This window comes from Homo sapiens, chromosome 20, assembly GCF_000001405.40.
Source record: "Homo sapiens chromosome 20, GRCh38.p14 Primary Assembly".
Lineage (NCBI taxonomy): Eukaryota > Metazoa > Chordata > Mammalia > Primates > Hominidae > Homo > Homo sapiens.
In genome coordinates this window covers 22805517-22824796 of record NC_000020.11, presented here as the reverse complement: position 1 = coordinate 22824796, position 19280 = coordinate 22805517, and the positions used below count along the sequence as shown (strand labels likewise).

Genomic DNA, 19280 nt, shown 5'->3' with positions numbered 1-19280 from the left:
TTTGAGCACTGTTACAGGAGGTGGGGGTAGGTCCCCAGTCACTTGTGGCCCATCCACGTGGAGGCCAGAGAACACCTTTGGCATGTACAGGGATGTCTCAGGTTACCTCTGAGAATTTGAGGGATGTGGACAGCGCCAGGCAGCATCCGCTATTTCCTTTCTTTCTGACCTGCAAAGATTCTGCTGCAAGGTTGAACATAGAAATCCAGGTTGCAAAGAATTTAGTCTCCTACCACTAAACCTGTAATCACTGTATACCCAGGTGTCTTAAAGGAGGAAGAGAAAAAAGAAGCATTATAGTTGGCTCAAAGCATATAGTTGGCTCCAAGAGATGTCTGTGTGGACCCAAATCAAGGTCACCCATACCAGTCCCCTCCCATTTCTGTGAGAGCCCCTCAAACTCACCCATTCTTTAAGGTGAAGTTGGGCCCCCTCTTCCACAAAGCCTTGCCAGGCTACACAGCCACAGGGCTCTCTTCTCTCCACTCCCAGGACAGAAATGCAAGCAGGCTTCTGCGTGGGTGTCTGCCCCAAGGGACTGGAAGTGGCTGCTCAGAGTCTGAGGCTGCTTTCTGGCTTGGTGGAAGAAAGCGAAGGGATTGATTCAAGAAGCTACCAGGAAGGAGAAGAACAAAGGCAAAGTATTTCCAGAATACAACTCGACTGGCCTCTTCCTCTCCTTTATCAGGAAGCAGAAGCCTGGGGGAAAAGGACCTACACATAAATGCATTGGGCAGCTACAGGAGAAGAGATGCATGTGGTGCAGTGGCTTTGAGGCTGGAGGTATTGCTGTGCCGTAGGCAGGCACCACCTGGCCCAGCCCAGCACCGAAGTGTCTTCAACACATATTGCTGGAACTGAATTGTGTTTCATGGATTTGAACTGAGGAGGTGGATGAGCCAGGGAGGAAGAGGAAGGGCTCGAGGGATGAAGCCCAATGAGCTTACATTTTAGGCTCAAGCTGACCTCAAATCTAAGGCCTATGTAAAAAGGGCTGGTGATTCAGACTAATATTTTTACCCATTGACTTATTCTCCAGCCCCCTCACAGCAATGCAAACCAGATTTGCACCAACTCCTTGATTGCTTCAGAGGTCACGTTACTTACGATGCACGGCTCTGAGGGTTTCTCTGTGATCTTAGCTCCCTGTGGTGCTGGGGTTCTGATGACTGTCAGCTCTCAGACCTGGGCCGCCCTGGGGGCTGTCAAGTCACGCTTACTGAAGGCCTGATATTCTTCCATGTTGGAAAATACATTCTTAATTATCATTCAGAATGATCCTTGTTGCTGGGAATGGCAGGTAGGCTCTGGGATCCCACTTTTGCTGATGACATGGGTCTTCACACCCAAGCAGCCTGAATGGAGGGACAAAGGCAAGAAAAAGAGAACACTTCTCTGAGTAGAGAGAGAAAGGGGAGAAAAGGCTGCTGTTGCTTTAACAAACATGAATCGCAGAACAGCAGGCCTGCCAACAAATGTGGTTCCTATTGATCTATCAAAACAGAACTAGCATCTTGAGATTTAAATAAGACACATGCTTAATAGGGCAGCTTCTTTTGGCAAAGGGAGTGAGGATTTGCCTGTGATGCACATTTAAAAACAGCCCGCCCAAACTGAGGGTCGCGCTACGAACCTAACCTGGAGTGGTCAAATGTCCGGGCCATGGAATATAAAGGAAGGTAGGGGTTCTCCAGGTGAAGGGAGGCCAGGGAGAGGTCAGCAAAGTGCAACATGACCTTGCGGCTTCTTTCGCCTCCACCAGGGACTTTACTGGTGCAGTCAGTGAAATCTGAATAAGGTCTGTAGATTAGATAATAGGTTTGTATTGGCCTTAATTTTCTGATTTTGATAATTTTTGTAGTTAAGTGAGAGAATGTTCTTGTTTTTACACACACTGAAGTCTTTAGGCGTAAAGGGGAGGAAAGAGAGAGAGAGCAGAGAGTAAAAATGCTCACATTTGGGGTCTCCAAGTGAAAGGTATCTGGGAACTCTCTGTGTTCTTCCTGTAACTGTTCTGTAAGTCTGGGCGGCTGGTGGCCTTGCCCTCTTCTTGACCTGAGACCAGCTCTGGATACAGAGACCCACATTTTTTTTTTCATCCCTTTGAATTTTACCTGCCTGGTCCTGGGCCTGCTCTAGTCAGGGTCTCTGAGAGGACCTGGCATAGCCCTGGCCTATGGCCCCCAACCTCATGTCCCCTTCGATTAGGACACCTTGATATATGCCCCCGTTGTCCTGGTCTCCCCTAGCCCACCTGCCTGTGTTTCTGCTGGCTGCCCACATGCCACCTACTTGCATAAAAGAATAGCTCCCTTCTCCCCCTTCCTCACCCCTGCCCCATGTCATTGTGAGACTGCTAGTGGAGCCCCTCCCTTCCTCACTGGGCCCAGGATGTCCGGCCACACTGGGTCTGTCCCACGCCCTGCCAGCGCCCATCCTTCCTGGGAGCCTTCAGTGCTGCTGACCAGAACTCCACTTGGGCTTCCAGCAGGCTGGTAGCCGCCTGTTGGAATGGTGGGGCCAGGCCACAGGGCAGACATGGACCCACCATGGCGGGCTGTAACTCCAATGAGCCTAATGAAATCTCATGCTTCATGAATCAGAAAGCTTTCTCCCATGCCCCGGGCTCCTGGGCTGTCTGCAGCCGGCAGCCTCCTGGTTCTGGTACTGTGGGAGTTTTAGCCTTTAGACCTAACCTTGCTTGCCAGAGGGAAAATTTCCAGCCTCCAGGGATCAGTGAAGTCAAACTCACATTGTCTATATCATGCAATCTAGTCTTTTCTTTCCCTCCAAGCAGATGTGGGTCAGTCCAGGGTGGGAAATACCCCAGCAAATATGTCAGGGCTCAGAGTTTCTGAGAAGGCTTCTCCCACGCCTGTGGCTGTCCTACTTGCTTCTGGGGGAAGCAGCCTGCAGCACATGGTCTCTCTTGCCCCACAGGCACACGGGCCCTTTCCTGAGGTGGAAGGGGCCAGAAGCAGCTGTGTGTATGGGGCTGTTCTGCCTAGGAGGCTATGCATTTTAAACTTTCTACATTAGCTCCAAATGAGGCCATGCAGGTCACTGTAAAAACCTCACATGTGTGCAAAGTAAATATTTAAAATATGCCACCCATTTTATAGCCTCATTTTGTTCATTTTCAAATGCGTTTGGAACCTGTGAAATGGAAACAGCCACAGCCTTGCTCATCCTCTGAGAGCCTCAGAAATGTCCACATGCACATGCGTGCAACATGCCCATGCACACAGACACAGGCCTCAGGCACAAACAGGCATTCACACTCACACACCCATGCACAGCTCTTCTTGATTAGCTTCAGGGTGTTCTTATTCTCCCATGGAAATGTAAACTGATACCAACTGTTCCTCTTACCACCCCCTTTAGTTAAGAGACTCCTGGGAAGGACGTTTCTGCTATTCCCTGCCTGATTAGAAGCCCACAGACCAACATTTTTTTTTAAGTGTGTGAACGTTCAAACGGCCTGCAGGCAAACATTCTCTTCTTTCAGCACTACAAAAGACACCATTAAATTGTGTGCATCAGAGTTCGCTGTAATCTAGAAAGCTCAGTACAGCCATGTCAGTCAGTCTCTGCTGTCAAGGCCAGCTATCCAGCAAGGGGCAAAAGGCTTTCAAAAGAATATGCCTGTAACTGCAACCTCTGGACTTGCCGATCTGTTACCCTGGGAGGAGGTGAGAGACTTCAATGTAGCCCTCCATAGTGTGTGGGTGGGGGCTAGCCTTGGGGGCTGCGGGTCATCAGCTCACACATGGTGAGAGTCTCCTTCGAGGAAGGACTGGCCATCCAGCCACAGGAGTGTGGTCAGCAGGGGCTTCCGCCAACTGCTCCTTCAATTCTGGCTCCACTGCACAGAACCTCCTCACATGAGGCCAGGCACAGTGGCTCACGCCTGTAATCCTAACATTTTGGGAGGCCGAGGCAGGCGGATTGCCTGAGCTCAGGAGTTCGAGACCAGCCTGGGCAACATGGTGAAACTCTGTCTCTACTAAAAAAAATACAAAAAATTAGCCGGGTGTGGTGGCGTGCACCTGTAGTCCCAGCTACTCAGGAGGCTGAGGCAGGAGAATGGCCTGAACCCGGGAGGTGGAGCTTGCAGTGAGCCAAGACCGCACCACTGCATTCCAGCCTGGGCTAAAGAGCAAGACTTCGTCTCAAAAAGAAAGAAAACAAAGAACCTCCTTGCTTGCATGAGGCAGCCTGCTGCTGGTGACAGGGCCAAGCAGGTATGAAGGCTACCACTGGGGCTACTGGGCCAGCAGATTGGAGGCAAAAAGTTAATGTGACTGTGACAGTGTTGATAAGCATGGATTGGTAAATCTAGTTTATTTACTGAAAAGAATAAAATAATAATAATAGAGTCACTCATAACCCTACTTCCAGGGATAAAAATTATAGTGTATCTATATATTTCTTTCCAGTTTTTTTCATGCCTATGTCTACACAGCTATAGCCTGGACATTTTTTCACAAATGTGAAATGATATGCCCCATCCATAGATTTGAATCTCGCTTTTACCCCTTGACATTCTAATGAGCATTTTCCCATGACGAGATGAAGATTTCTCATCACAGCTAAATTCTGATCCAAACAGCAATGAAAAAAAAGACTGGTCTTTCCAAATTACTTTCATGTATAGCCTTTATTTCTTGGCCCTGTTTCATAACCATGGTATAACTAGATTCCACCACTATGGAATGGAAGGAAGGACAGGGCCCTGGGGGCAAGGCAGGCACCAGGAACCCCCACCCCTTCCTGTCACCTTCTGGCCGAGTAAGTCACTGGCATTTCTACCTCAGGGGCTCCCTCTGTAGGGGATCAATCATGTACTATCTCTCTGAAGGTGGGAGATCACCTGATCTCTTAGGATCCCCTTCACTCATTCATTCACTCATTCAGAGCAATTTATTAAGACCGTAAGCCTGTTGCAAGGAAGACCCTGGGCTACAATGAAGGGCAGACTTATTTCTTGCCCCAAGAAACTATTTTTCCTAAAAGTATGATCCTTTCGGTTTATTCATACATAGTAACAGAAAAAGAAGGGACATGATCTCTAATACCTAGTATTAGATGTAATCTGGCCAAATTCCCTCTTATCACATACCAAGGAGTTTGGGTGGTACGCAAGGGTCTTGCAGTTAGTCAATTCTCACTCCATGTGACTCAATGTTCTTAGTGACAGGCCATGACTTAGAAACCGTGTATATGGCTTGTTTGTTACAATGCCTACCATGCTAGAAAGTCTTTCCCCAAATGTGCCCCCATGAAGTGCTAGTTGCATTGGAGGGTGAAAAGGGCATTGTAAGAAGGGCCTCAATGATCAAGTAAGTTTGGCTTAGGCTGGCTTAGGAAAGGTATGCCAGATTCTTTCCTGCAGCACTTGTAAGAGCTTTAACGTGCAACATGTTCTGTGAAACTGTCAAGGGGAGGAGGTTATGCATCTGTTTTGCAAAATTATTTCACAAGGCATAAACAAAACATAGTCAGGGAAACCCTGTTCTGGAATTGCACTGCCCCTTTCAGTGAAGCCGCTCTAATTCGAACAAAATTGCTGAAAATGCCTTCCAAATGACAAACTGTTTCTTAAAAAAAAAAAAAATCATTCTTTCTTAAGAACACACAAAATGTTTCCAACTTTGAAATCCAGCTCGACACATTTGAGTAATAAAGATTCTTCTCATTAGAAGCACCATGGGTCTATTAGGACCTAAGAGCAATTTGTTAGTATCTTAAGTAGATTGAACACCCTCTCAGCAGTTACATTTTCAATTATTTGTGTTTGAGATTTTGACTTATCTCGCAATAATTATTCTCCATTTCTCCCTGTTATTCATAGAACTCCCATGTCCCCAGATGTTTCCCAGACTCACTTGCAGGTAGATGAGGCCATGAGACTAAGATTTGGCAGAAGAAATTGATGAGCAAGAACATGTGCAACTTCCTAGTTTCGTCCTTCAAAGGCAGCTGTTTGCTCTGCACATTCTCTTTCCCTTTCCACTAGCTGGAGCACAGACAAGGCAATGCTGGGCCAGCTTTGAGCGTGTGATGGAAGCACCATTACTGAGCAATGCATTCACCGTTTGACATGCATAGAAGCCTTTACCATGGTACTGGCTTTGGAGGAAGAAAAAGAGGCTTTAGTGCGAGGTCAACTGGTAAGGAGACAGGAGGCACAGCTCAAATCTCTCTCCTTGGTCTGAGGTCCGGGACAAGTTTTCTGGGTCAGGGAGGACAGGTTTAGGTGCAGAAGTGCTGGTAGGGCAGGTTTCTTTTGGAGGCCTTCAAACTAGGCCATTTATGGTAAGGTATGGAATGGTAGATTTCAGCAGTGGATCTTCCCAGTTAATGGATCCCTCACTTCTGAAAGGGTTCCAGCATTCAAATTCTGGTCATGCCCTGGCCTTTTTGATTCTGCAAGGAGGATATGTTGGCTCTGGGTGTTGTTACAGGTCAGAGCTTTTTCACTACACATGTCTTGGCTGCCTAACTTGCAACTTCTTGGCTCTGTAACTGTACAATAACTTAAAATCCTGCTATTGACAGAGTAGGTCCAGTTAGAATGAGACTGTGCAGTTACAGCAACACTTCGGGGGCTGGTGGAGCAAGACATTAGAAGGAACCTGGGTGCCCACACTGCCGACTGACTTCTAGTATCCATCTGCCACCTTTTTCTTTAAGTAAGAGAACGTGCCTCTATCCTCTATCCCAGTCTTATTACATGGTTACCTGGCTCAGAACTGCATGTCCTAGATGTTGGTAGCTCCATGTGACTGAGTTGTGGCCAATGGTCTATGAACAGAAATGATAAGTGCAACTGCCTTGTTGTGCGTTTAAAAGGACACTGCTTCTCTTTTAGCCTTCCTGGCCCTTTCCACAACCTGGACTCAGCTATTTCAGTCATGAGCCATCTTGAACCATGAAGATGGAGGCACACCATGGGCACAGGAGAGCAAGGCTACACAGTGTCTGAGTTCCCGGACCATTTGGGGAACAGAGTCATGCTGCTCTCATGGATCGCGTACTCATCTGGACTTATGTCTGAGAGAGAAACACACTTCTGTTTTACTTAGGCTGCTCTTACTCTCTCTGTTTTAAAGCATCTAGACCTATATTTTAGCTAATATACCTCCCTTATGCTTCACTAATTTTTAGATTATTTTTATGCTGGTCTATCTGTATACTTTGGGACTGGTGTATGAATACTAGTGAACTTACTTGGAGCCATAAGAAAATCAGCTGTTGTCCTTGAAATATTGAAAATGCTGAGGTCCTAGTAATCCCATTACTGGGTATATACCAAAAGGATTATAAATCATTCTACTATAAAGACACATGCACACATATGTTTATTGCAGCACTATTTACAATAGCAAAGACTTGGAACCAACCCAAATGCCCATCGATGATAGACTGGATAAAGAAAATGTGGCACATATACACCATGGAATAATATGCAGCCATAAAAAAGAATGAGTTTATGTCCTTTGCATGGACATAGATGAAGCTGGAAACCATCATTCTCAGCAAACTAACACAGGAACAGAAAACCAAACACTGCATGTTCTCACTCATAAGTGGGAGTTGAACAATGAGAGTGTTCAGTGTGTCCATGTGTATGGACACAGGGAGGGAAATATCACACACACCGGGGCCAGCTGGGGGTTTGTGGGTGAAGGGAGGGAAAGCATTAGGACAAATACCCAATGCATGCAGGGCTTAAAACCCAGATGATGGGTTGATAGGTGCAGCAAACCACCATGGCACATGTATACCTATTTAACAAACCTGAACGTTCTGCACATGTATCGCTTAAAGTAAAATAAAAATAATATAATAAACTGCCATACATTAAGATAAAATTAAATATGGTTCTCTTTCAAAAAAATAAAGAAAAATGCTATGGTCTTTTTTCACTTTAACTTAAAGCATGCACATATATATATATATATATATATATATATATATATGAAATTCAGGCCCATGTTTTGTGTAGCATTCATTTAAATCACTGTGAATTATCTCTCTTTAAGCGTGACCTCAATTGAATGTTGTGCTCTCCCTTTCCTATTTGTTTTTTAAATATTTTTATCTGGGTCTCAAAAGAGTTTTAAATACTCCAAACTTGAGCCAAGTACTAATGAGGGTCCATTTGCATTTCCCTTCCTCTGTCTTTTAGCCAGTCTTTCATTCTTGCTAACTAAAGCTGATGTGGTGCTTTTCTCTAATAACTGGTTCATATTCCTTAAGTTCTTTTCTTGGCTCATCAAAGTGAGCTGCAGCTGCTGGACAGCTAATAAACTGCCATGCCTTTTTATTTTATTCCTCTTTTATCTGCACTGTTAACCCAAATCTAGTTTTTATCCTAATTTATCTCCTTGCTTTTTGCATCTTCCAAATTAGAGTCATTTCTATTTCTCATATTAAAGAGTGTGAATTGCAAAGTATTATCAAGATGGAAGCATTTCGGGCTCAGGACCTTGTTTCCTCAACTCTCCATAGGACTCAGCGGTAATCCAGAGACAATGGCATCATTTCCAAATCCATGGAGACTTTGTTCATGAGCAGTGGACCAAGGAATCTCATTTCAACCCGCAGGACTGTTTCCTCCCTTGTTACATTTAGCAGAGTAGACATGGTCCAAGTGTACACAATTCGACTGTCAGTAGTTGGAATACACGTTAAAACTCTTTCATTTTCCCCAGTGAGTTCCTCATCCAGAGGCTGGCCAGGTTTTCCATAGGACCTGATCTAGCCGCACATATTTCCTGTCAGTTCTTCAGCTTTCTGGCTGCTGTGCGTGTGCTTAACATGCTGTGTGGAGAATCCACTTCCTTTCTTCAAATAAAACTATAAAATGTTTCTTCGCATAAAAAAGTAAAAGCCTTAGTTGCTTTTCTTTTACTGGACTTGCTTCTGCCACATCCCTCATTGTGGAAGACTCTTGGCTTTGCCTCCCAGAGCCTCCTTTGGCACTGAGGACTTGAGCCCCTGGTGGCTGAGTGTGATGTGGCTGGCAGCCCTCAGCCATTCCTGTGGAGGGAGGATGCTGGATTTTAGTTTCTTGCTCTCTCCTTTACCATCTTTATTCAGGGCAAGAGTAAATTTATAGGCTAATTCTGAAGCCTGTAGGTCCCAGGTTTTTGTGCGGTGGTTTCACCTTCTCTTTTTTACTGACCAACACCAGCAGCCTTAGGGGTCCTTCCAATGACAGTCATTCTTCCCCTTGGGTTCCCCACCCCACGTGCATGCTTATCTCAAAGACGGTGAAGCTGCAAGTTCCCTCACTCAATGCCACCTTCCTGCCTCCCAGTGGCATCCAGAATAATTCTTAGAATTTTCTGCAGCCCTGGCCTGAACGACCTGGAGCTTTTGTTTCCAGCAAAGGACTGTTTGCCCCGAGAGTGTGCACTGATGGGAGAACAAGGTGCCTTGCTGGCTCCAAGACCTCTGGAGGCCAGTCTTGTCATCACACAGTCTTTCTCACCTGCATCTAATTTTCCCTGCGTTTTGCAGCCTTTCTTCAGATGTTGTGTTCAGATCTTTTTCCATTTTCCTAATTTCTTGACTCTGTTTCTTGTTTTCTTCAAGTCTAGGAAGACAGGAGGGCCAGAGACATCCTGCTTTCTTTCCACCAGCTCTCACGAGGCCCAGCCAGCTCCTTGGTGATGAAGGGCCACATTGTCATCAGTGCCCCACAGTCCCTGGCACAGATCTTGTGTGCTGCAGATCACGTGGGCAAACCTGCACCTTCCCATCTCCTCCAGCTGCTTCCTCACTGTCCTCCAACTGCCCGTGCCTACAAGAAAACATCATGCAGGTCTCTTTGTTATTTAAAATTTATTTTTATGTTACTGCAGAACAGGTACATGTGCGACACTTGTTTCACAAAGTGCATTGCCATCTTCATGTTCTGTCATGCTTTGAAGTGTTTATAACAATGTCATAAGCAGGGACACTGGGATGCACACATGAATTTGCCTCCTCCTCTGCCTGCCCTTGGCAGCATGGAGCGTCAGTCTCTCAGACTGGGTATGAGGTCTTCAATCTGGACTGACGAGGTCCACCCCAGCTGCATGCGGGCTACTTGCTATTCACCGGACCTGTGTTTATGTTGAAACCTAAATCCACAGTTCAAACTCTTAACCACAAAGCTACACCCGTTCCAGGAACCACTCTCTCTGGGCTTCCCACAAGCACAGTCTTCCATTACAACTAGGTGAAAGAAAAAGCAATCAAAATATATTCAATTTCTCTTTGCTCTTTTGCTCTTTCTGTCTCACCCCTCTATTTCCATTAGTGCCCTCCTGTTTAGTTGAAGCCTTGAGAGTGCTCTCTGGCTACCCACCTTAGAGCTTAGTTTTATTTTTTATCCCCCAAAGCCACAGGGAGAAAAGCCAAGCCAAGGCCAATGTTAAAGTGTCTGTTCCTTGCAAGAAATGCAGGGAGACAGCAGCGGTGAGCACACTGGCCCAGGAGGGAGGACATTGAGGGTGAGCTCGGGCTCCTCCCTGTTGCTCTGTGCCTGCCTTCCTGTCCTCACCTGTAAAATGAGAGGCTTGAACATTGTGATACCGGTGTGCTGGTTCATCATTGTACAGCTGATATTGCTTTTGTGCTCCAAACTATCAGCTCTCCAGTTGATAAAATCATGGGGTTGTTTGGGGAATGGTACTTAGCTATTAAATAATAGCAATGAATAAATATATATAAAGGATTATATTTAGCCTAACTAAAGAGACTGAAGAACTGGATCAATGCTTAGTGAACATGGGCAGCCTGCTGCACCATGCTGTGCCTATTGGTTGGTGGGGAGGAAGGACTACCATGTGGCCAGGATGGTCTCAGACGGCCTCAACCCAGGTCTTACTATTATTATTTTTTAATGTGCAAGCAATCTGAAGTTTCCAGAAAAGTTTCAAGGGCAAATCTAAGAAGACTTCTTTCCCTGAACCATTTGAGAGTAAGTTGCAGACATGACACCATACCAGCTTCCACCACTCTCATAACCACAATACAACCATCAAATCAGAAAATCAGCATTGACGCCTTCCTATCACCTTAGAGTTGAACTCCATTCAGATGTCCAACTAAAGTACTCTGTAGCAAAGGGATACAGATCAGAATCACCAACTACATTTAGTTGTCACATATCTTTTGGTGTTTTCAACTTGTGAAATGTCCTTCGTCGTTTTTGACTTGCATGAACTTGATGAGTTTGAAGAGGTCAGACCAGTTACATGGTAGGATGCCCCTCATTTCAAATTTGTCTGATGTTTCCTTGGGATTATATTCAGATTATGCATCATTGACAGGAATTCCAGGGAAATAATGCTGATCCTCACCTCATCTTTTCATGTGGTGGACAATTTTGATTTGTCCCATTGTTGATGGTATAATATTTTTGAGGGCTTGGCATTCAGCTCCTGGGTCATCCATCCATCCCAGGCAGAAAGCAATGACTTGGGTTGCTCATCTATTACGCATGTGGTAATACACCCTCCTCTTCACTGGGACAAGAGAGGGGATAGTGGGAGAAGATTATATGGAGTTTGGACACATTTTAAACTTGATCTCGTAGTCTGAGTCTGTGGGCTTACAGACCAAAGAATGGCACTACCCACAATTTACCTGACGAAAAAGAAGCAGGCTTGGATACTTTATGTTTTCCAGTGCAAAGTTGTTTTAATAGTGACAGAATAACTTTAACACAAAATTTACTGTCAGTTTATCAACATTTAGTTTATTCCTATTGATTCTCACTTGTGGCAAAAATGTAAATTACCATTCGCTTTCTGTGTTTAAAAGAAGAAATAATGCCTTGACTTTAAAATTGAGAGTGCTTCTTCCCAGGAGTGGAAAAACCGAATCCAACATAACTTCTGGGGTCTGAAGTGGAGGGAAAGCAGCAGGGGCTTAAACCCATGAATTAACTTTCAAAGAAAAACAATTCCAACAGATCCAATGAAACATTCATTTATTGTCAAATGATAGCCCCTTAGAAAAATCTGCCATCTGAAGTCTCATGAAATAGGATTACTAGGACTCCTCAGTTCCTGGCATTCAATTATCAAATCAGCAATTTTTAAAAAATATTTGGCTCAAACCTTGGAAAACTATGCAATTGTACAATTTGCAATGACACAACATAATTGATCTAAATGCCAGAGTAAAACACAGGGAATGAATTGTCTTTTAAAAGCTGGACCAAAACAAGTTCTTCTATTACTAGTACTGCTGTTAAGTAAGAAATACTTATTCAATTACTCGGGGAAGTAGAAAGAAAGTTGAATTCAATCACCACATCCAATGTGTTGGATGTTAACCTATCTCCTGAAGGACACCCCTTTCAGACTAGACCTTAGTCTGTAGATCAAGGAAGCAAGATCCTGGCCTGGCAGCACCTAGCACATAGTAGGCATGTGATCCCACCCTGTATGAAAAAGATGAATGAATAGATTAGTTATTTTTAATGCTAGGGGCTCCAGTGGTCAGGGTTGTAAAACACTAAGGGGTAGGGCTTCTTTATGTTTCTCTTGGAGCGTTTACTCCTCTATTCCTGTCTGCATATGACCACTTACTCAGCCAAGCACACACAGTCATCAAGCCCATTATGTACTGGTCACTTTGCTTACTATAGAGATACAAAGGGATAATCAGACAAGGCCCCTACATTTTGTGCTGGTCACTTTGCTTATCATGGAGATACAAGGAGATAATCAGACAAGGCCCCTACATTTGAAGAATGCAGAGGCATGGGGAGAAGAACAGATACATACATTTGAGGGATGCAGAGGCATAGGGAGGAGAAGAACAGACACATACCAAGTTACAAGCAATGGCATTAAGTGCCCAAAGTGAAGAATAAAGCGTTGCTAGGGAGATAACTAATGTCACCAGCTGGGTGACTCCAGGACAATCTCGTAGAAGAACTGACTCAGAAAAGTATAACTAAAACAGACCACCTGTTTATGTCCTACCCCTGTTCTTTGAGCATAACCAACTTCTCCCATGAAAGAGGTGCTTCTGGCTTTCATTCCCTGTTCATTCTAAGAGACCCTGCTCCTTTGACCATGATCAGACCAAGAGGGGGAGTGCACCCGACTCAAGAACCAGTCAGTATTCTCCTTGGTCAAACCAAATGCAAGTCACCACCACACTTAAGTGAAGGCCTAGGCGTCCCTACTGCTCCAGCTCCAGAGCAGCTCATGGTCCCTCCTGAACCTGGCTTTCAGAGGCTCCCTGGACTTTATGACACACCCTAGGACTCTACCTATAAATTCCCTCTGCTGTTTAAGTTTGCTTAAAGTTGAATTCTGTTACCTTCAAGCAAGAAACTAAACCTTGACAAAGTGCAAGAGGAAGCAAAAATTTACTTATCTCTGGCCGTGTGACAAGCACCTCACTTTATATCCATTATTTATTTATTGCACTGTGAAGTTGTTGTTATTACTCCCATTAAGACAAATGCAAACACGGAAGTTCTGCTGGGTTAGAACAATTATAGGTTGTGCCAGGAAGAGGCAGCAATGGAATGCAGCCCCCAGCTCAGGCCCAGGCATTGTCCTTCTGTCACTGTGTCTCCTGGGCTACAGACAAAGGGAAGGAACAGACAAAGAAGTTGTTTATCAAATGTCATTAACTTGAGGGACACAGATGCGTCGATCCTGGTTGATCTGCCTTGACTCTTCTTTCTTCATTCTTTTTTTTTTTTCATTGTTTTTCAGTGTACTAACGTTTCTCAAGAGTTCACTCTGAGCCAGGCCACGTGTCAGGCCCTGGGGCTGAAATAGGAACCAAAACACATATAATTCCCCTCTTGGACAAGTGTAGAATTGTTAAGCATGGCAAGTGCTATGAAGAAGGCCAAGAAGGGGCAGAAGGGGTTACTAGTGAAAGTGAGGAGAGACGCCAGGTGGGAGGTGCTGCTGGATCAGAAAGTCCTGTGCAGACTCCAGCCCACCATGGGCATCAGCTGTCGGGGCTCCACAGCAACTGGAAACACAGCCTTCAGTGGAGCCCAGACAACGTGGGCCAACACCTGCCCGTGTAACCTGAGTCCGATCTGCCCTGCTCTGACACTCAGATGTGCTTATTCTATATCCTCAGGGGTTGATGAGAAACAATGGGGCCTGGGGGTTATGGATGTGTCTGGGCCAGACAGGTCCAAGCCATCCTGGGCCCAACTGTGTCCCCCAGCTGCATTCTCCTCTTAGCCCCCACTGCTTACCCAGCCTATTTCCTGGGCTTCTCCTGGAACCCCTGTTTCCTGCCAAACTTCTAGCCTTTGAGCTTGGACTGTGCCTCTTTGTTATTCCTGACAAGCTTTGGAACTCCCTTTCCCAGGAAATCGAACTAGGTTTCCTCTTTTTTCATCCAACTCCACCGAGCATCAAACTCTCCAGCTGCCCACACTGAAGGCTGCTCCAGTGGACAGCCACAACCCGCCCTCCTGCCCCTTCTTGAACCAGGCAATTCCACCCACCGGCCTGGAAGTACTGGGCCTGACAAAAGGCCCCTGCTGTATCTCATGCCTCTCATAATGGTCGCCCACCATAACTTCAACCCCAATTTTGGGTGTTCTCCAATAGCCAGTCCATGACCTTTGTCCTGGCGTGGCTCTTCCTGGCATGATCTCCTCTCCCGGACAGCTTGCACGAGTCCCAGGAAACCTTACAACTAAGGCCACCCAGTTTATGACCCAACTTTGAGCCCACTTCATAGATAGAGCTGGAAGGAGAAATGGGCATCACAGGTCTGATTTGGGGTCAGATGGGTGTTCTGAACCCGTATGGCTGAATCAAGCATCTCTGCATGAGATCTGCAATATGAGATCACAGAAATAGCTACAGCTGATCCCACACCATCAATTATGGATTGATGAGACTTCCAGCTCTCCCTTCACCAGCTCTGTCAGGACTGCCTGTCACAGGCTCATGGGATTCATTTAAGGAAAATTCATTTAAGATTGAGTCCAATCTAAACTTTTCTCTCTCAGTGCTGTTTTTGATGACTATTTCAGTGTCCATTCTAGTCCTGGCACCTGTTGGGTAGGTGTGGGGCCTCTTCTCAGGCAGCCACAGACCAAGGGGAGGAAGACTCTGTGCTAATCATGTTTTGCTGTGTAACCAAGAACATCAACATCTCAGTGACTACAGCAGCACACACTTCTTTTTCTGATTCCCAGCTCAAAAGTGTGGCTCTTCTTGGCTGAGTTTGGCTGACTTCAGCCGTGCGCCTCTCCAGGCTGCAGGTGGGTGGGTTTGGGTCTGCTCTGTTTGGGGATCCACCCTGAGGGCATGCTTCTTATGTGATGGCAGGAGCCTAGGGGCTGATCGCACCTGCACAGGTGCATTGCACATCTCTGCTTCAGCTACTTCCATTCACATTGCATTGGCTACAGCAAATAAGGTTATGGCTACTCCATGTGGCCACGATGACGGTTTTGAAAGCGAGGCCTGACAAGGGTCCATGACAACTCTACTGGCAAAAGTGGCTGCACAGGGGGCCTCTTCTTGGTCCAGCCATGACAGCGACATTTGAAGGAACTGCTCATCACCATTCCAAAGGGCACACAGTGAGAACTGCAGATTGCAGCTGGGAGGGATTTAAATATCCATAGTGAAGGCTTTCATTATCTTTTAGTTATTTAGTTTTAAGTAACAACTGATGTGTTAGATTCGCTCTGAGCCAGGCCATTAAGGAAGAACTTTCCAACTTTGGCCTACAGAGGGGAAAGAATGAACACCGCACAGCTCAGGGCAAATGGGAAGAATTGAGCCTTTTCGAAAGTGCACTAATGTTCAAGGGATTTACTCTTGGTCACTTAGAAGAACTGAAACAGACTTCCTGCCCTATCTTCCACCTACTTGGCTCCCAGTGAGGAGGAAAGCATCTCACATGCCCAAGTGGCTCTGTCAGAGTAAATCCAAAGTCATCAAAGGATAAATATGACCACAAAGGAAGTTTCTCTTGCCTTTTATTTTCACTCACTCCTGAGCCATTGGCCTGCCAGGGATACTGCTGAGTAATTAGTGAGTACTTAGGAAGCCTTTGAAAAGCACGGATTCATCTCATAGACCCTTAAGTTCCAAGGGAACTTAGCCAACAAGAAAAGCAGTGATTGTAGCTAATGTTCTAAGACATCCAAATGTATCCCAGGCACTTCACATGAGCCCTGTCACATAATCCTTACAGAAAAGCTAGGAGACAGGCATTCATATTATTCCCACTGGTGGATAAGGGGACATCCAGGCTGGAGGTGGTGAAGAGACTGAATAGATTCATGAGGGTGAGTATGCTGCTCCACTGAAGGTCCAGGTGGTTGACTTGCAGGCAGCTCCTCCCTTTGAAAGGTGTGATTCTCAATCAGTGCCTTCCAGTGTGAACACTGATCTCACCCATAAAATGAGGGGCACTAAGCTAGCACCCCCAGCCTCAAACTGATGCTTCTAAAGGCTGGAATGACTTGTGCCATAGGCTGAATGAGGTCCCTCCAAGGTGTCTATGCCCTAAACTGGTGTCACCTTATATGGCAAAGTCTTTGTGGATGTGATTCAGGATTTTAAGATGGGAGATTATCCTGGATTATTTATGTGAGCTCTCAATACAATCACGGGTATCCTAATGAGAGAGAGACAGAGGCCACGTGACCATAAAGGCAGAGAATGGAGTGATATGGACACAAGCCAGGGGAGGCTGGCAGCTGCCAGAAGCTGGAAGAGGCAAAAAATCTGTTACATTAAGTTTCCCCTAAAGCTGCCTCCTCACATATTTAAGTTCAGCCAAAAGGTTTCCCTGTACACATTGAACTGTCACCTAACTGGATGTGTAAACAAACGGCAACTTGTTCTTGTATCAAGTAGCTAGTTTCAGCCAATCACAGCATCCGAGTCTCAGCCAATCACAGCATCCGAGTCTCAGCCAATCACAGCATCTGAGTCTCAGCCAATCACAGCAGCCAAGCCTTCGCCAATCACAGCAGTTGGGTCTCAGCCAATTACAGGCTACCAACTGTTCAAACCATGTTAAATTAGGCAAACACAGAGCTGTAATCAATCCAGCTATTTTTTTCTGTACTTCACTTTTGTTTTCTGTGCCTCACTTTTCTTTTTCTGTTCACAGATGTTATCCAACCATGTGGCAGTTCCAGGAATCACTCTCAACCTCTTCTTGTTCTGCAGGCTTCCTGATTGGAGAATCGCTCTTTGCTCAATTAAACTGTTGAATTTAATTTGTAAAATATTTTTCTTTTAACAGAACAGATTTTCTCCTGGAGCCTCCAGGGAGAGCACAGCCCTGATAGCGCCTTGATTTTGGCCCAGTGAAACTGATTTTGGACTTCTGGTCTCCAGGACACTTAGAGAATAAACTCCTGTTGCTTTAAGTCATCAGATTTGTGGCAGTTTGTTACAGTAGCCTGAGGAAACATGTGTGCTAACCAGGTTCTAATATTTTTTTATTCAGCAAATATTTACCAAGGGCTTGGTATGTGTCAGTAGTTGGGGATCAGAAATGATTAAAGCTTAACTCCTGCTAGTCTCCCCTGTGGAGGACAGGGAGAGCTGGGGAGAAAGACGAGGTAGAGGGCAGGGAGGAACCTGCACAGAAGTGGCTCTGGGTGAGAGTTCATAGCCACTATTATTGCAAGATACAGTCATCGCCGATGTGTGCATCAGAAACCTGAGTGTGAGCTCTAATTCTGCACCCAGTAGCTGTGTGACTGTGCAGAAGTCATTTAAGTCCACTAGGGTGCACTTATTTCATCTGAAAAATAATGATAATGGCTTCTGCCTCAACGGAGTTTTAAGATTATTGGATGAAAGAGTGAGCCCTGACCAGGGGCTCAGACAGTGGAGATGCTCAGTGAATATGATGCTTGGAGTGTCCAGATCCACAGAGTGTGACTGCAGTCTCTACACATGTAATTTGACAGGAGCAAGGGAACCTTCTTACCGTCAAGTGCCATTGAACTGGAATACTTACTATCAGACATTTAGTTTTTATCAAGTTCCTTTTCAGAATCCAAAGTCCTGGGAGATGTTACACCTTCTGTCAATAGCATCTAAGCATGGACAATTAGTAGCTACTTTCCCAGCTACCAGCAGAAAGCCCTGAGCACTACAAAGAATCAGACAGTTAAAGGTGAAGAAATGACTCAAGGGCAGGACAGACTGAAAGCACAGGTTGCCCTATGCAACGTGCCAGTTGCTGGCAGTTAGTCCTCAGCCGCCGAAGATAGGGTTAGGGTCTCCAGAGTATATTGTTATAGACAAGTGTTGAAGGAATGGGTCCTCAAAAAAATCCAGTTCTCCTATCACTATGTTTACTTGGGATGGCCAAGAAAATCATCTGTCTTTGGATGCTGTGGGCTAAGAACAAGGAGATGGCAGGAAAGGAAAGCGAGGTCCCTAGCCTGGGCTGGAAAGTTTCCCATCAGTATTGATAGTGGCAACTGTTGGAGAAGAGGAGAAAGAGTCTTTTTAGAAATATGGAAAATCATCCACATCCTGCTTCTAAATGCTTTTAGGGGCTGAAAGGCTGCAAGCGTTTCAAAGCCAAGGAGATAAACCTTCTCCAGCAACAGACTGCTCTGAATGTGTTTGTGTCACACTGCCCTGCACAGAAGTCTTCCTGTGATGTGTGCTGGAGCCAAAAACACCATGGCTGTGGTTCAGAAAAATATATGACACACAGCACACATCCCCAGGCTGCACACCCATGATAGGAGTACCCATGCAAAGTCCCGGAGGTCACAGAAGGTCTTTACAAGATGACAGTTCTACATGGTGAACCATGTGTCCACTCTGATCTCTAGCCCTCAGACCTGTATAAGACACAAAGTTGCCCAGAATTATAGTCTAGGTGTCTACAGTTGAGCTCCGGAATTAGAGAGGTTGTCATGGTTACTCAGGTTTAGGAAGCAATACCTGGAGCCACCTCTAAAGGTCATTCATCAGGAAAAGTGGGGTCAAGCCTCCAGCCAGAAGTCTCCTGACCACAGGAAGCCATCATCAAGACAGCAGGAGTGGGTTACCAAGGAAACAAGTTGATGGTAAGAATCATAAGCATACAGGAGAATTCCGAGACCCAAATCTTCACCACGAAAACTGGCTGATGTGCAGAAAGCCTTCTGGTGGATCAAGACTCAGCCTATATCGGGACAGGCCAGCACACTGCAAACCTTCCACCACATCCCCCCTCACATGTCCATGGCAGGCGTCATTAGTCAGTCATAGCAGTGTTGCCTTCTTGGCTCAGTCACA

The 19280-nt window shown here is 45.6% G+C and overlaps 1 long non-coding RNA gene across 1 annotated transcript, besides 1 other annotated feature; it reads right to left on the bottom strand.

The window, feature by feature from the left end:
• Positions 1 to 414: 414 nt before the first annotated feature.
• Positions 415 to 19025, bottom strand: LOC105372568 (uncharacterized). Its single transcript, XR_937351.2, has 3 exons — positions 18945 to 19025; positions 1108 to 1355; positions 415 to 612 (listed from the first exon to the last, which is right to left on the bottom strand). It is a non-coding gene; the product is annotated as an uncharacterized LOC105372568 (long non-coding RNA).
• Positions 2453 to 2953: an enhancer, noted in NCBI's record as "H3K4me1 hESC enhancer chr20:22802482-22802982 (GRCh37/hg19 assembly coordinates)". NCBI's record gives its function as "activates a minimal SCP1, AML or CMV promoter by ChIP-STARR-seq in naive H9 embryonic stem cells {active_cell/tissue: H9 hESC(naive)}" and the evidence as "EXISTENCE:reporter gene assay evidence [ECO:0000049][PMID:30033119]".
• Positions 19026 to 19280: the final 255 nt, after the last annotated feature.